The sequence below is a fragment of the Homo sapiens genome, chromosome 2, assembly GCF_000001405.40.
Source record: "Homo sapiens chromosome 2, GRCh38.p14 Primary Assembly".
In the NCBI taxonomy this organism is placed as follows: Eukaryota; Metazoa; Chordata; class Mammalia; order Primates; family Hominidae; genus Homo; species Homo sapiens.
This window is the reverse complement of record NC_000002.12, coordinates 1,250,975-1,267,850: the sequence shown is the minus strand read 5'-3', so window position 1 is coordinate 1,267,850 and position 16,876 is coordinate 1,250,975. Positions and strand designations below refer to the sequence as shown.

The 16,876-nt window shown below is 42.3% G+C and overlaps 1 protein-coding gene and 1 long non-coding RNA gene across 11 annotated transcripts in view, besides 2 other annotated features; one reads left to right on the top strand and one right to left on the bottom strand.

The window, feature by feature from the left end:
* Positions 1-16,876, bottom strand: part of SNTG2 (syntrophin gamma 2) — a 416,765-nt gene that overhangs the window by 99,763 nt on the left and 300,126 nt on the right. For 8 of the 10 annotated variants that reach the window (NM_018968.4, XM_017004362.1, XM_017004365.2 and 5 more), the window contains 2 exons: positions 8,410-8,481; positions 280-486 (listed from right to left, as the gene is read on the bottom strand). In NM_018968.4, the coding sequence (NP_061841.2) occupies positions 280-486; positions 8,410-8,481 (279 nt within the window). Of the gene's footprint in view, positions 1-279; positions 487-8,409; positions 8,482-11,240; positions 11,447-16,876 lie in introns of those variants that run through there. The other 2 variants (XM_047444795.1, XM_017004368.2) reach the window with 1 other exon arrangement.
* Positions 5,255-6,454: an enhancer, noted in NCBI's record as "BRD4-independent group 4 enhancer chr2:1265169-1266368 (GRCh37/hg19 assembly coordinates)". NCBI's record gives its function as "activates an origin of replication core promoter dependent on BRD2, P300/CBP, MED14 and CDK7 cofactors, and independent of BRD4, by STARR-seq in HCT116 cells {active_cell/tissue: HCT116}" and the evidence as "EXISTENCE:reporter gene assay evidence [ECO:0000049][PMID:35650434]".
* Positions 5,433-15,600, top strand: LOC124905965 (uncharacterized). Its single transcript, XR_007086184.1, has 3 exons — positions 5,433-5,515; positions 5,830-5,956; positions 15,474-15,600. It is a non-coding gene; the product is annotated as an uncharacterized LOC124905965 (long non-coding RNA).
* Positions 10,624-10,779: a silencer, noted in NCBI's record as "fragment chr2:1260844-1260999 (GRCh37/hg19 assembly coordinates)". NCBI's record gives its function as "represses an EF-1alpha promoter that drives an FKBP-Casp9 reporter gene in an ReSE screen in HepG2 liver carcinoma cells {active_cell/tissue: HepG2}" and the evidence as "EXISTENCE:reporter gene assay evidence [ECO:0000049][PMID:32094911]".

The following is a 16,876-nucleotide window of genomic DNA, read 5'->3' as shown; positions in this document are numbered from 1 at the left end:
TGGAGTCCCTTCCTGGAAAGCGATGCAGCCCGTTCCTCACATTCAATGTAGACACAGACACAAAATCCTCTCCTCCCCTTCCCTTCCACTACAGCTCATATTTATCCACGGAGCGCATGACTCCGTGCGAACGATCATTTCCACACAGTAGCTCCGGTGAAAGATTCTCACCTTCTGAAGATTCCTCTTTTCCCCCGATAAACTGCTACATATTCCCCAATGCTATGTCTCAGACACCCGAGCAGGTGTAGGTGAGAAGAGTGTGAGTTGTTCACTTACCCCGGTTCTCTGAACTTCCATGAACGTGGCTCTTTGGAAGGACTTCTCCCACATGGCCAGCTCGCTGCCAAGCTCCACGTTGAAAACATGGCTCTTCCCATGGCCGGCCACGATGCTGAAGCAATAGGGCCTCTGGTCCTCAAAGTCAAAATCTTGAAGACCCAGATACAAGTTTGCTTGCAACCAGCAGTCCTCTGTGAGCCAGAACTGAAAAACAGAGCATGGATTGGAAACGTGCAGCGCTGGAAGGTCATTCCCATGCTGAGGGCCCTGGTGTGGGGAGAAGGCAGCGTTTGCGTGATCTGGGAAACGGTCTCCTGGGTGCAGACAAGGAGGCAAATTCAGAGCAATGAGCCCTCTCATGCACAGCTGGTGCGGAAGTGGTCCACAGACAAATATCTGTAAATAAATTTTGTCAAATGCTTAATTCTCTGTAAGTGCCTTTCCCTTAAAATACTGGTCACCACACACTTTCCTGTTTTACGGTGAAGAGAAAGATGAAGCTGGGTGTGGTGGCTCACGCCTGTAATCCCAGCACTTTGGGAGACTAAGGTGGGTGGATTGCTTGAGCCCAGGAGTCTGAGACCAGCCTGGGCAACATGGCAAGACCTTGTCTTCACAAAAATAAATGAATAAATAAAATACAACAAATTAGCCAGGTGTGGCAGCACACGCTTGTAGTTCTAGCTATTTGGGAGGCTGAGGTAGTAGAACGGCTTGAGCCCAGAAGCCCGAGGTTACAGAAAGCCAAGATCACACCACCAATGCACTCCAGCCTGGGTGACAGAGGGAAACCCTGTCTCAAGAAAAAAAAAAAAAAGATAAAGATGAAAGTCTTGAGACATTGATGCTTGTGTTTATCATAAAACCAGAAAACACTGAAAATACCACCACCACTCTAACTAAGCGTGCCCCCTGCGCCTCCGAGTCTCTATAGAATTACTGGCTCTTCCTCTCCTTGCGGGTTCATTGTCCTGAGATAAAGGACCGAGTGCCCAAAACGCCTCTGAAGCATGACAAGGCACCCGGCCACCCAGGAGCTCATTCTGCCAACCCAAAGGCCTGACAAAGGGAATGATGTAATGATGTTGTTCCATTTCTGGTTAATCGTTTAACCCAGAGATGTAAGTTACTTACAGCACGTCTATTAATCACTCGGCGATTCGGATGCTGCCAGCCTGTGCTGCATGGAGCAGCCTGGGGAGCTCCCCACTTCTTTCCCCCATCTGCAAGGTTGCACCCCACTTCGGGATTCATTTTATCAAGGGCAGAAGAGAAAGACTGGGGGTCCCAGTTGTCACAATTACTAGGTCAACAGCATGGAGGTGCATGGTGAACGCGCACTCAATACCTGGCTGGCACCTCTCTGTCTCTGTCTGTCTCTCTCTCTCTCTCTGTCTCCATTTCTATGTCTCTGTCTCTCTTTGTGTCTCTTTCTCTCTCTCCATTTCTGTCATTCTGTTTCTCTATTTTATGTCTGTTTCTCTGTCTCTCTCTATCCTTCTCTCTGTCTCTGTCTGTCTCTCTCTGGACCCACCTCAGTTCTCAGCTCACCCATTCATTTACTGGTCCACAGATCCACCCTGAAGAGCCCCCACCAGACACCTTCCTGGGACGCTGCACCCCAACATCAATTTTGCTGCACCAGTCTCTCCCCAGTGAAGGGAAACAAGGGGAGACACCTGGGCTGGGGTTTCCAAAGTCCTGAATGAGAATGTGGTGTTCACCCACAGCCCTGCATATGGCAGCAGAAAGGAAGGGGAGCTGCCCACCTGCTGGGTCTTCCCATCATGATTCTGAGATATCTCCATTCACTTGTGCCAACCAGCCAAGCTGGACAGTCCCCACTCACACTTACGCTCAAGGTCCAGTCCCAAAATCCACATGAACTCAGCAGTTGGCCAAATAGTTTTACTTGAAATATGCTGACACATGCACTCTAGGCACAGGTTTGAGGTAAAAGCTACGACTGGTGTGTCTCAGGTGGGCCTTCTGGACTCTCCGGGGGGATGCCCTGGCTCTCCTGGCCCCGCAGATGGCTCTGCAGGATGACCCTCTGATCATGGAGAGCATTGCACATTTATCCCTGTGCATCATCCAGACATCAAATGCCTTGTGGTGTGTGCACGTGAGAACATGTGTGTGTGTATGTGTGCACATGAGAATGTGTGTGCACACATGAACATGTGTATGTGTGGAAATGTATGTGAACATGAATGTGTGTGTACGTGAATGTGTGTAGTGTGCATACGTTGCTAACCCTAAATGAGCCTTGAGTACAGAAACTGCACTTTAATTCTGGGGCCCTCTGGATCGTCTCCTTCAGCTGGGATACCTGGAACCTATAGGGTTACACGTCACAAACCAAGAACAACATGTTCATCATTGACCTTATGGTGCAGAAAGTATCTCTTTATCCACTGAACTTAAATGTCAAAACTGATAAAGAAAAACTTTTGGAAGATATTTATGTGGGAACGCACATCCCCCATTGAATGGCTCATTATAGTTGGGCCTTGAACAACCCAGGGGTTAGGGGCGCCAACTCTCACGCAGTTGAAGATTCATGCATAACTTTTGACTCCCCTAAAACTTAACTACTAGTAGTCTATTGTTGATCAGAAGCTTTACTAATAACATGAACAGTCAATTAACACATATTCTGTATGTTATACGTATAATATACTACATTCTTAGAATAGAATAAGTGAATTCAGGCACAGTGGCTTACACCTGTAATCACAACTAATTGGGAGGCTGAGGCAGGGGCATCACTGGAGCCCAGGAATTTAAGACCAGCCTGGATGACACAGCAAGATCCTATCTCTAAATAAATAAATGAATTAAGAAAGTAAGCTAGAGAATAGAGAATGTTATTGAGAAAATCACAGGGAAGAGAAGATATACTTAGAGCACTGCACTGTATTTATTGACACCATAAGTTTACATCATCTGTTTATGAGATGAATGGTCTGAAATGGTGGCAACCACGCTGCAGACCTCAATCTGTGGTGCACAGCAAACAATTCAGCTTTTTGGCAATGCTGTGATATTCCCGCTTCTTGGGGCACTTGCAACATCCCTTGTGGCACTTCGTGTGGGTCCCGGGGTGTTATTCAAGGTTTACGTTACTGGACTCAACACGAAGGAGGGAAGGTACACAAGAACTCTGAGAGATCACTCGTTACCATGCTCTGCAATTTACTGGAGAGAGAAATTGCTTCCACAGGGATGATTAAGACATTTTACTCAGAAACCCATGTCACACTATGTGCTCCAGTTAACCATGGGCAGGAATGATTGAACGCTGCATCTTTACCTTTGTCTATATTCCTCTCCACTGCAGATGGTGCCAAATTGATTGATTTATATTTTACAGGAGTAAATGATGAAATAGACTAGTATCTACATATATTGTATGAATTCACGACATCTCTAACTTTTTCTTAATGTTTTGATATTTTTAAGCTACACAGTTTGTCTTAAGAGGTTTTTACAATTGTTAAATTGTTTTCAAAAAATTTTCCAACATACTTATAGAAAACAATTGGCATACAAATGAGCCCACGCAGTTCAAGCCCATATTGTTCAAAGGTCAATTGTGTTTCTTTCCTATCACTTGCTATATTTGGGCAGCTGTGTATTATAATAGAAGAACACCAGGTTTTGGAGTCAGATAAAATTTGAGGCCTTTCTTTGCCCAGTATTAGCTGTTTGATCTTGAGCAATTCACTCTCTCAGAGCCTCCACTTTTGAGCTGTGAAATGGAATCGTGATAAAAATGTTGTCATAACTTCACATGACAGAGTGGCCAGCATGCAGGGCTCACATCCCGGATTCACATGAGTTCACTACGTGCTTTCATAAAGACACACGTCCTAAGGCAATGCTGAGCCAGGCCGTACATGTCGATTTGATGTCTGCTTTGCAGCTACCTGGCTTCCTGGCAGGGTCAGCTCTGGCAATATCCAGAACAGCATTTCCAGCCACCCCCACGACTGAAGAAAGCCCACCCCCCACCTAGGACTGCAAGACATCATCTTATTATGTTCCCTTTCCTGAAAAAAACAAAAAGGGTTGTATTCTAAAATTACATATTTTTTCTATTTATATTTATTATGAAACAATTATAGCAACAATAAAGGGAATTTAAAAGATAAACTTATTACTATGTTTTGTCATCTGATTTTTAAAAATATGTCAATAATTATTAATATAACCTTAATAATAGGACAATAATTAATATTCTCTTTCATGCAATGTGAATTTGTACATATAACTGTATAAATTTATAGTAGAATTACTTAAAATATGTTGTAAGATTTTAAAATATTTCTCAATGGTCTTTTGATTATTCTTCAAATATCATTAATTTAAGGAATATCCTTAAACATTCTCATACATATAGCTCTTTGATTCCTCTGAACTCAGTGTTGTAATGGACTCTTCTTTAGATTCAATTCTGAGGAGTGAGACTGCTTGATCAAGCAAGGGATTGTTTTTCCACTGTTTAGCCTCACAAAGAATGTGTTGTAAGTTCTACAAAAGGAAAATTAATTATTCATATATAGCTCATTTCCCCAGATAGTTCCTGTAGCTCCTTTAAAAACAATCACTCAGACCTTGTGGATCGCAGTGTGTTGATACGACTGGAAACCCTGAGCACTGAAGTTCAAGGTCAGCGGCTTGCCGTCAACAGTCAGTCAGCGGCTGGCTAGGCCATCGGGTTTCCTCGTCTGGACCGAGCCTTCGGGTTTCGTCGTCTGGACCGAGCCTTCCGGTTACCTCGTCTGCACGGAGCCTTCGGGTTGCCTCGTCTGCACGGAGCCTTCCGGTTGCCTCGTCTGGACGGAGCCTTCCGGTTGCCTCGTCTGGACGGAGCCTTCCGGTTGCCTCGTCTGGACTGAGCCTTCCGGTTACTACGTCTGGACTGAGCCTTTGGGTTTCCTCGTCTGGACTGAGCCTTTGGGTTTCCTCGTCTGGACTGAGACTTGACCCGGCTTCTTCCCACCTCTGGGACCTGGAACTCCCTATCTTTAGAGCATTTGCTTTAGAAAATGTATTATTGTATGTTCTTTCTCTGCCATTTGATACCTGAATCTTTCTAGAAGTCTCTTGCTGGCTGTACAACCCAGGACTGTCTTTCTCAAGGAGCTGGGAGCTGTCCCTTCAAAATGTGATCACTGGCAAGATGGCGTCATCTCCTGTCCCTGTGGAAGGATGGAGCCCAGCCTTGGTGGGTGCTTGGCTCTAAGCTGTGCAACCACCTCCTGTCATGAAGATGGGGGAAGCTCTCTGTTTCTTTGCAGGAGGCCAATTAACAGACAATGATGGCCCTAATCTCCTTCCCATCCCAACTTGTAGAAACCCTCTCATCCTTTGTTTCAGTGGAGTTGAATCTCTGAATCTCTCTCTCTCTCCTATCATAATAGACTTGAATAAGGTCTTCTTGCCTTCTTCGCCTTTAACTCTGGTGCAGTTTTGTCCTGACATGGCTTTAGGAAAATCATTTAGGAATTCTTCCTCTCAGTGTTGATATTATCCAAACAGGACTACCCCGAAGATCCGTGGAGAACACGTTCTAGAACTCTTAACGGCCACTCGCGACAGGCTCCCGGAACACCACTGCTTCTAGCACGTGGAATAGAGCGGGATTCGGGATGAGCTTTGCAGCCACGTGAGTCTGGGCCCCATCCCTGTCTCTGCTTGGCTTCTGGAAAGTCCTCGTCCACTTCCCTGCTTCTGAGTTCTTAGCTACAAAACAGAGTGCTCCTTAGGTGGGGAGAGAATTAACTCAAGGACATAGCTAAGTGCTTAGCAAGGTTCCTAGGGAAGTACTCAATAAAGACAGCTATCATTACTAAGATCTTCTGCCAAACATATGAGAATATTGACTTTTCCTGAAAATTTAATGGGGTATCTTTAGGTTGAGAGGATGGACCCGTGGATTTCACACAGGACGCTCCATAGTGTCCAGAGTGCTTTTCTGCCATGCTGCACGAAAGCTGTTTATCATTTCTCTCACGACTGCAATCAAGGCTGATTGGTGCAATTTTCTCATCTATTTCGTGATGAGTGTTGAAATACAGAACACATAATTTTAAGAGTTGGGAAAAGTAATTTTTAGAAGGTATCAGAGAAAAAACAAAATCACAACTTCAGAATTTGATTTCTGGTCTAAATATTAATGAGTGTACTTTGAAATGGTAATTATGGATATTTAAAGAATCTATATGAAAAAGTATTAGTTCTTATGATACTCACATATTTATTTACATTTCTGAAAATGAACTGAATGCATTTACTTTTAAATTTATGTATGCTAAATGATAAACATCAGCAATTAAATGCGTGTAAAAGCAGTCAATATGATTTTGTAAGATCACTATTTTAAGACTTCCAAATAGGACATTCAACTCATATAATTTAATCTCTTTTTTAAAAATATTGAATGCCATAGATTTATTATTATTTACCCCATTTTTTAGTTTAATACCTTTGCCATAGCCATTCTACTGGCTAATTTCATGATTTCATAAATACTTCATATAATATTTACTGACTAAAATTTTTTTATAATCTTCCTGGGAAAATGAGATGGCTCTATAGCTTACTAATGAACCACATATGTAAGATACAATAATCTCTCAAAGACACCCCAGTACCTAAAGAACATCTCAGGTGCACGGAAGGAGAATCCTCTGAAACAAGAGGGGGGAGAAGCGAAAATGTGTTGATGAGGAGCCCATGCGAAGGAAACAAAAAGGCCAAGAATTCTTCTACGAATTCTTCTGTGGAAATGTGATGGATGAAATGACCTGCATATCATCTACGACCAAGAGGCTCATGTTAACATAAGGCTTCCTTTTTGCCATTTTCAAAATAATGCATTCCTGTCACAGATAATTTCGAAAACAGAATAATTTTTAAAATGAAAGCAACAATAACTAGAAAAGCCATCACTGAGAGAAAACCACAGTTAATGTTTTATTCTATTTTCCTCCATTTTTTAATGAATATGCCTAGCACAGAAATGTTCACTTTCTGATCAATGATTGTTTATTACAACCTGTAATTAGGAGTCTTAATTTAAATACATCCGGCCTTTTCCTTCATCTCCTTCATTACCATATTCAACAAAAGTAGGAACAATGCAGAAAAATGTTGCCCAAATAAATTTTTCAAAAATGGGAAATAAATGTATTTATCATTTGATAATATTATTATGGAAATGTATTTCCCTTGTACATGTTTCCATTAAAGGCAGTCTGAAATTCCAGATTTAAATTTAAAATAAAGCAACTACAGATAGAGAATATTATTTTTGAGGATATTTTCAATTTAAGAAAACAAACCAAACTTTGAAAGACAAATCTTTATTCAAAACTTCTAACTTTAGACTGATAACTCTTTACAGTCAAATTCTCAGACTAAAAGGTACGTACATTTAAACTTTCACTTAATATTCCTATTTGTCTCTGTTTTGTGTACTCCTACATGAAAAAGACACAGGTGGTTTGTTTACATGATGCACTGAGTCACATACTAGGACACGGTGGCACCCGGCCACGGTGAGCGCATCGTCGCCTTGCTGTGGAGACACCTCTGCAGTCAGGTGGGCGGGGGCCTGGGCTAGGGCCCTGCTGCACCTCCAGGCTCCGGGCAGCCCCACCAGTGAGGTGTGTCCCCTGGAGGAAGGCTCAGTCCTTACCTACCCTAGGAACCATGAGCAGCAAACTGGCCAGACCCTGGGGCAAATTTGTATCTGATTTGTTGAAAACAATTTCAATAACAGCAGCAGCAGTAACAAAATCTAAAGTTCTTGGAATAAATGATTGTAAGTGGATGTCATAAAACACATCTCTCCCGTAAAACACACACAAACACCACATACCACATAAACACAGACACACCCTGTCATCCATTCATCCTGCCTTGATAAGCAACAGGGTGACAGCTAGAACCCATGTACCAGGTAGGGCAGGAGAATGGGTCCAGATCGTCACATTATTTTACTATTTCAAATTTTACTATTTCAATGGACCACGCAGAACAAACAATCCTCTCATTCTGCAAGCCCAAAGGGCATCTTATTTGTATGAAAGCATCTGAAGTGCAAAAGATACCTACCTTGTGAACTTTAAATAGCACCTCACAGAGGTGATAGGTCCTTTCTGCTCGCACCCAATCGAATGTGCTCACCTGCAAGAAACAGAGAACGTTCCATGAAAAGCAGCATGCTACTTTTAGTTGAAAAATTTAAAAATTTACAATAGTGTGACTGCATGTGTGTCCACCTCAATTAAATCCTAAGCCCCATTAGTATAAATTGGTAACATTAAACTTTACGTACTGCTGTGAGTTTTGATGAGTTGCCACATCCTCATCTTTGTCAGTTTGTGGCAAATATAATAGATCCTTTACCGACAGGAAAACGTCTATCTCCTTTATCTTATCTTAGATAGATAAGATTGATATCTATGATATCTTGTCTATCACATGCAATTGGGCATAATTTTAGAAAACCATTTTGGATTCCTTTTAGATTAAATTAGGGATTAATTTTGGGTAACATTTAATGCATGTGAAAGTGAATGAGTTTATATATTTACTGGAGTACAAAAATGGACAGAAAATATTGTGTAGACAGTCTTTTGCTTTTTAGAACTAAACTTAGTTCTGTTTCAGAAATGAATGAAAAATCTACTAACCAATTTAATTGAATACATTTTTCGTTGGTCTGAGCTGTTGTAGTTCACAACTATTTTAACAATAATAATGGCCAAACTAATCTCACTGTCGAATAATGCTGTATGTTTCACAATTCAAGCTCAGATATTTAATCTCTAAGTTAAAATATTTCATGCAGAAAAATCTAAAATATTCAACAATGTAACAAATTTGATGTTTTTTATTGTTGACCCTGCACTTTTTCCTTCAGCCAGTAAAAATAATCCAAAGTGCACGGAATTATGTCTTTGAAACACTGAAATTATCTTGGCTTTAATTAATTGGGGACCTTCTGGTAATCCTTGCAGCAAACAAAATTTTCAAGACATTTTTCAAGTCATCACAACTGAAATGTGGAAAGTTACACAAATAGTTTTGCTATTTAATATTTTATTGCCCTAGAGTCAGCTCATTGCAATTGTGATTTTGGCAATAAAACAATAAGTAAAGGGAACAATTTGAAAGTGAGAATGGCCAATTAGAATACGAACTTTAAGGTTCCTTTTGGATCTGGTATTCAGGCCATAAGAGTTACATCTCGAATTTGCTAGAGGGAGTTTCAGGTGCTTATTTCAGAGTTTAAAAGCCAGAACTCCAGCACCCCTTCTCTTGAGAGCTGGGGAGCCATGCTGATGGATGCCTGAAATAAAACATCACCCTGAATTCCACAGCAGTGCCCGCTGATTCCTCAACACTGCACCTGCCCCTCCCTTCCCACTCCTCCCGTTCCCACCCTGGCCAGTGTTTTATGCTACTGCCTAATGTCAGAGCTCAGGTGCTGGTTTTATTACTGGCAAATACAGAATTGTGGATCCACCATTTTTATCTTTCCCAGTTAGGACAATGCTGCTTATTTTTGAAGGCTGTAAATATAAAGGGGAAAAAAAACCCACTAAACACCCTATTCAGAGACATCTTCCCAAGTTTACTTGTTGCTATAAATACACCTTATGCATATTCATGGTTTTACACTTTTCAAAATATAGTTAGTAATATCAGCATTTTCCCATGTCATTAAATGTTATTCAGAAATACAACTGTAACTACAGCTTAGAATTTCCGTGTGGAGTTACGGTTTTTGTAAGCTTTATCTTTGTGATGGACATTGTAGATTGCTTTTAGGTTTTCACCGCTGTCATCGTGCTGTGATTAATATATCTGGTCACTGTATTAGATTATGTCACATTGAATGCATTTTCCATACTAGTCTGATATCAATATGTGACAAAACAGCAGGGATTTGAGTCATGTTCTAAGACAAAGCTTGGAGGGGGCTGTGCTCTTTGTTGTTCGCAGAAGCAGGTCTAGTCTCTCCCTCCTTCCGCTGCATCCATCATCTGTTTATTAAGCCCCTTTCTGTTCGTCCCTGTGGCGTCTGCTGGTTTTGCCGTAGTCCTGCCTTCCTCCTACTCGTTTATTCCTCCTGCCAGTGGCCGTGTCTCCCCCTGGGGATCCCTTCTCCGCTCCCAGAGCTATGACCTTGCCCACAGCCCAGGGAGGCAAGGCGCAGTCCACACACAATTCAGGCCAGAATTCTCATCATCTTCGCCAACATGATTGATTCAGGGAAGAGAATGTGCCTCGATCGCAGACACAGGTAAGAAGGTGGTCGGGCTTCGGATGGAACCATTTCTATTGTGGACTTGAAGAAAATGCTGCCACCCTGAGAGCTGTGGGAAGTCCCCTTGAGCCACATGGATGTTATGGGTGTGGCAGTATCCACACTAGCTCCTGGCTGTGACAATGTACCAGAGGATGCAAGTGTTAGGAACAGGGGAGGTGGGGGCAGTGAGGGGCACAGGCTACTCTTCACCTTCCACTGTTTTCTGTAAATCTAAAATCGTCCAAAAAACAAGTGTATTAATTAAAAAAAAAAAAGAAGAAGTGGGTCTTTCTCATCATTGTTCTTTCCCTGCTTACCTGAACCGCATGGCTTAAGGACTCAGCTCAGACCCAGCCCTGAGGCTTTTCCTGACAGCCGTGGCAGGTCTCCCTCCCCTCTTCCAAGTCCCAGAGGCCCTGCCATCGGCTTCCCCCTGCTGACACGCAGCTCAGGTGACTTCATGTGAGTGATCCTTTCTGCAGAGCACCCTCAGCCTGGCTCCAGCCTTTCACAGATATCCTTCCTCTCCCTACATGGATGTGATGTGAATGCTTCTCTAATTTAGTGAAAGTGCAGGCATCAGGTTCCTCTGAGTTTCTGCCAGAAAAAAAAAATCACCAAAAAATTCATCATGTCCATTAGGGCTCTTCTCACTTTTTATTTCACGAGTTATAGCTCTAGAAAATATCTAGGCTACAACAATTCAAGGCCGAACATGACCATGTAACAGAAGGGGGTTATTTAAGATAAAACCATGTCCAAGGTATCCAAGAAGAGCATCTCGTGTGTTGGTTAGGTTCTGCGTAGCTTGTAGTTCAGATAGGAGGTAGGTTGCTGCAACAAAAGTGAAAAAACTTGGCTAAATTGAGCTTAATGTTAGGAAAGCTAGTCAAAACCCTCTCTGTATGCATATACAAATGTGTGTGCGTGTGTGTCTATACAGTCATGCACCACGTCACGACACTTCAGTTAACAATGAACTGCACAGACCACGGTGGCCCCATAGGTTCTAATGGAGCATATACAGAAACCCGGTCGATGGAACTTGATCCTGGCCTTGCAGATCAACTAGAGGAAGGAACTCATAGGCAGTAATGGTGCCGAAACATTTGGTTTTCTATATGAAAATATACATAAATAAAAATATACAGCCCATCTAGGTTTCTGTAAATACACCCTATGATGTTTGCACAACGACAAAATTGCCTAACTGTGCATTTTCTGGAATATATACCTGTCCTTAAGCAATGCGTGGCTATACATACGTATGTGTATTAACACATGTAGTTATATATATATATATTTATATATTTATATATTTATATATATATTTATATATATATTTATATATATTTATATATATATTTATATATATTTATATATATTTATATATATTTATATATATTTATATATATATACATACAACTTTGTGTATATATATATATACACACACACACATATAATTAGAAGATTAATGTAAAGCTCAAAATTCTAGGTGTGCATAGCCCATGATGCAGTGACAATACTGAAAGCCTGGAGTACTGTTCTGAAGCAGGGCACTCCTAGTGTGTTTGTGCCATGCCTGAGTGTGGCCAGGCGTCACCTGCCGATGCAGATTCCTGCGCCCCATCCAAGCGGTTCAGATTTAGCAAGTTTGGAGTGAGGCTCAGAGATCTTGACTTTTTATTTTTAAGCAATTTATTGTTGATGTATCCATCATGACTCCCAAAGTGCAGCAAGGCCAGCAACAGCCTCGGCATCTCTGGGTCCCTGTTGGTGATGTCAAGTCTCAGGTCCGCACCAGACCTGCCATATCACAGCCTGTGTTTTCAAGAAGTATTCCCAGGTGATTCATAGGTACATTGGTGTTCTTGATGTTTTATGAGGGGAGTCTGACGTGGTGGTCTTGTGGGAAAACAACCTGAGGATAAGAAGCCTGACACCTTTTAAAAGGAAAGGAAGGCCGAGGGTGGGATGGAAGCAGCCACTGTGAATTGCAAACGAATTCCTTACTGCAGAGGCGTGTTCAATCACCGCTCATTGGACAAACGAATTCCTGACTTGGTAAATGACTGGCTCCACGCCATGGCTTCCTGAAATCCAGACTCCACGCCACGACTTCCTGAAATCCAGGGCTCCCTAATGCAGTCATCATGGCTTAGTTTACACGATTTTCCAGGACCGCACCTCTTATGTTAAAAGAGGGGAAACCCTCTGCTAAGAGGGGCCCATGCAGCGTGAACCTCTCTGAGGCACTTTATCAGCCGATTTTCTCTGGGGAATGATTTTGCATGTCCGGAGAGAGATCCACTGGCTCTACCATCATGCTTCTTCCTCAGAGCAGTGACTTAACACCAGGGCAAGGAAACACGAGGTATGCAGATTCCTGGATTTTCTCCAGACTCTCATGGAACAAAAGAGACGTAACGGATGGTAGACAAGATGGGTGGTTTTGTAACTATATATCATCACTATGGTTTTCCTAATAATGGCAATTGACAATTTTCTAAGTATCTGGCCACACTTGGCTTGAAATGGAGCCGAAATTGTAGATTACAAGATGCCATAACTTGGTACCTTTGACTGTTATCATAGAACAATGAATATGTGGCCCCAGAACAATATAGTTTGCTCCATCTACAAATCTTCATTTGAATTATTTTTTCCAAGTAATATTTTTAATGATAGAATATACCTATGTAATTGATAGTCTTAAATTGCTAATAATTCTTGCATATGCATAGGCAGTTGCTACATCATTGATATATTAATGCCATACAATTCTGTAAAATTGACTTTATAACTTATTTTGACACATTTTAATGATGTTTGAAAACAGGAATAACTGAAACATCTTTCAGATTCTAATGTACAAATCAGAAATAAATACTCTGGCTAACGAGGGAGAGTAGGGTGTGTGAGTTGTTGAGAGTCCCGGCTTTAATCTCAGCTCTTCCAGCATCTCCTGGTGCATGGGAAAGACAGAGATTAGGGACCCACCAGGGTGGGCCGGGCCCTCCTCACGGAACAACTGAGCTGTGAAACACGGACCTGCTTTTTCCACTCCAATTCCTCCTTTCCATTCTTCTATCCCATTTCCCTTCTGATACGGTTGGGGTCTGTGACTCCGCCCAAATCTCATGTCAAATTATAATCCTCACTGTTGGAGGTGGAGCCTGGTGGGAGGTGACTGCATCATGGGGGTGGATTTGCCCTTTGGTGCTGTTCTCCTAATAGAGTTTTCATGAGATCTGACTGTTTACAAGTGTGTGGCATCTTCTCCCTTCCTCTCTTCCTCCTTCTCTGGCCATGGTTCTATTCTTGTGATACAGTTCTCATGAGATCTGATTGTTTAAAAGTGTGACATCTCCTCCCGCTCCCTCTCTTCCTCCTTCTCTGGCCATGTAAGATGTGCCTACTTCCCCTTTGCCTTCTGCCACACTGTAAGTTTCCTGAGGCTTCCCCAGACGTGCTTCCTGTACAGCTTGCGGAACTGTGGGCCAATTAACCCTCTTTTCTTTATAAACTACCCAGTATCAGGCATTTCTTTAGAGCAATGTGAACACAGACGAATACACCTTCTTTTCTCTATTCTCCTTCAATATTCTTCCTCTTCCTCATCTTGAACGAGATCAAAAGCCACCGTTCAAAGAAGGACTTTACCTTTTAGTTTTTCCTAAGTTGCCATGATAATCTTTGGGTCCTTGTAAAATTCACTAAAATTTTCTGACGTAGACTGCTGAGAATCGAAGCTCTGTGAATATTTCTACATTATTGCATAGTGAGGGCTTTCTGAGCAACACTCACTGGCACCTGGAATGAAGGACGATGGTGCAGTGACCCAGCCATGGGAGTTGGCAATAGTGAATCATTCAGGGACATTTACACGGATGGCCCCTGAAGCCTTTGGTTTATATTCCAAAGTGTGATGGAAGAGAGACCTCGGCTTTCTCTCCTGAGAGAGGTCTGATTGGTGTTAGTAAGGGGGAGTCTCTCCTTCTGTGGGGAGGAGGGTGGGTGGGTGCTGAGCATCCTATATGAGCTCCGAGAGTCATGGCCCCACGTGCTTCTCCCATGGCTGACATCTCTGCCCACACAGAACTCTGGGGCAGGGATGGGGAACCAGCATTGAGACGTTCTGTGAGTAATTAACAACCTGTCTCTGATCCAAAAACCTCATGTTTATGTCAGGATAAAATACATTTAAGATACTGATGTTAAAACCTTAACATAAGGTTGTTTTAGATCTGGGCAAAGTAAGACTGCTACTGGCAAATTGCCACCAGTGCCAGGATATAAAATGTCAGGCCAGAAAAAATATTAATACATTATAAATATTTAGATGTAAATTTATTCACCATATTGTGTGTATTGATTTTGCAATGAGAAGTTGGTGAATACTAATACATGATTTTGTCTGTTAGATTCAAATGCTTTTACAGCTTTTTTTCTTTGAAATAGAGTTTCACTCTTGTTCTCCAGGCTGGAGTGCAAATATGAGGGGTTGATTTCTCCTTGATGTTCTCATTAGAGAGGACTTGATGACCTCTGCAAAACACTCAGCCCACCGCCAAGCATTAATAGGCCTCAGTACTGATTTTATAGATTATTCCACCTGTAACCAGGCAGCATCTTCTCTATGTCAGAGGTGATGCTGGACATGGTGCAGGCAGCAGGAGCCCAGCACAGGCAGCTCCCAGGTCCATGGAAACCAAATTGCATTTCCAGTGTTTTATCAAGAGAGAAAACTTCCACACCAGTGATCCATTGTATGATATTTATAATGTACTAATCATCCTTCCTTAATCTCCCTACAACCCTCTCAGGTAGGCATTTACAGTCCTCTATTCTCATTTTACAGGTGACGTTAAGTAATGACAGTTGGAGACCACTAGAAATTTATAAACTATATGAAGTCATCGGGAAGTATACAGATAAAACAAGTCAAATCAATCTAACTTTTGGATGGAATATTCATAAAAACCTGCACCTTTTTATCTCTCCAGTGCATTACTGGTATTATTGATTACCACTGAAAAAGTACAAATTATCCAGATCCAGAAGAAATGAGTGGCTTCTTTCTCGTGGATCATCAAGGATCCAGTTAGATCAACTCACGGTTCCTGCAGCCTCACAGCATCGGGAGCTCTCTGCGTACTGGGCGCCTCCAGAGTTTCTATGGCTACCCAGTTCTTGTCTCTGAACTCAAGCCTGGTGGATCTAACTCTACTCAAAAACCTCCCTTTGGAAATCTTTAAACATTTCAAACTTACAAAGATCCAGCACTCACCAATGAGTACATCCCACAGTTCCCATCTCAGCAAATGGGAGCATCACTGCCGGCTGGAGTCCCTCCTCTCACATCCACACGCCATGGTCTGGGTGTGTGTGCATGGGGTGTGCATGTGGTGTGTGCATGAGTGGTGTGCACGTGTGTGTGGTGTGTGCATGAGTGGTGTGCAGATGTGGTGTGCGTGTAGTGTGTGTGTGGTGTGTGCCTGTGGGGGGTGTGTGTCTATTTGTGTTGTGTGTGTGGTGTGCATGGTGTGTGCATGTGATGTGTGTGTGGTGTGTGCATGTGTGGTGTGTGTGGGGTTTGTGTGGTGTGTGTGCGGTGTGTGTGGTGTGTGCATGAGTGTGGTGTGTGTGGTATGTGCCTGTGGGAGGTGTGTGTTCTATTTGTATGGTGTGTGCATATGTTATGTGTGTGGTATGTGCATGTGTGTGGTGTGTGCATGTGGTGTGCGTGTGGTGTGTGCATGAGTGGTGTGTGTGTGGTGTGTGTAGTGTGTGGTGTGTGTGGTGTGTGGTGTGTGCATGTGTGTGGGTCTATGTGAGCTTCCTAAGCACTACTAGACTCAAAAGCTTCACAGACTGTGCAGTCTATATTGGTGTAATTAACAGTTATATATTTATACTTAAAAATTTAAATTATGAAACTATGCTTACTTGAGGATAACAAAATTTTTATATTTCAGAGATCTGGGCAGCTAAACTGTCAATGACCATTTTGGATGGATGCGTACACTTTAGAGTAACATCCAGCTTCCTTAAATTGCAGCCTAATGGTAAATCTATCTGGGGCTAATTCAACTTCACAGGTTTACGAAATCTTGAGAATTACTCTCTAGGCTCATTCGGGTCCTCGCTGACCCTTTACAAGGAATAGCGAGGCCTTCAGAACCACAATGATGGAAAGAAGCCCTGCTGATGGCTCTGAAGAGAGAATGGAGATGGTGCCAAGTCATCTTCTGCAGAAATTAC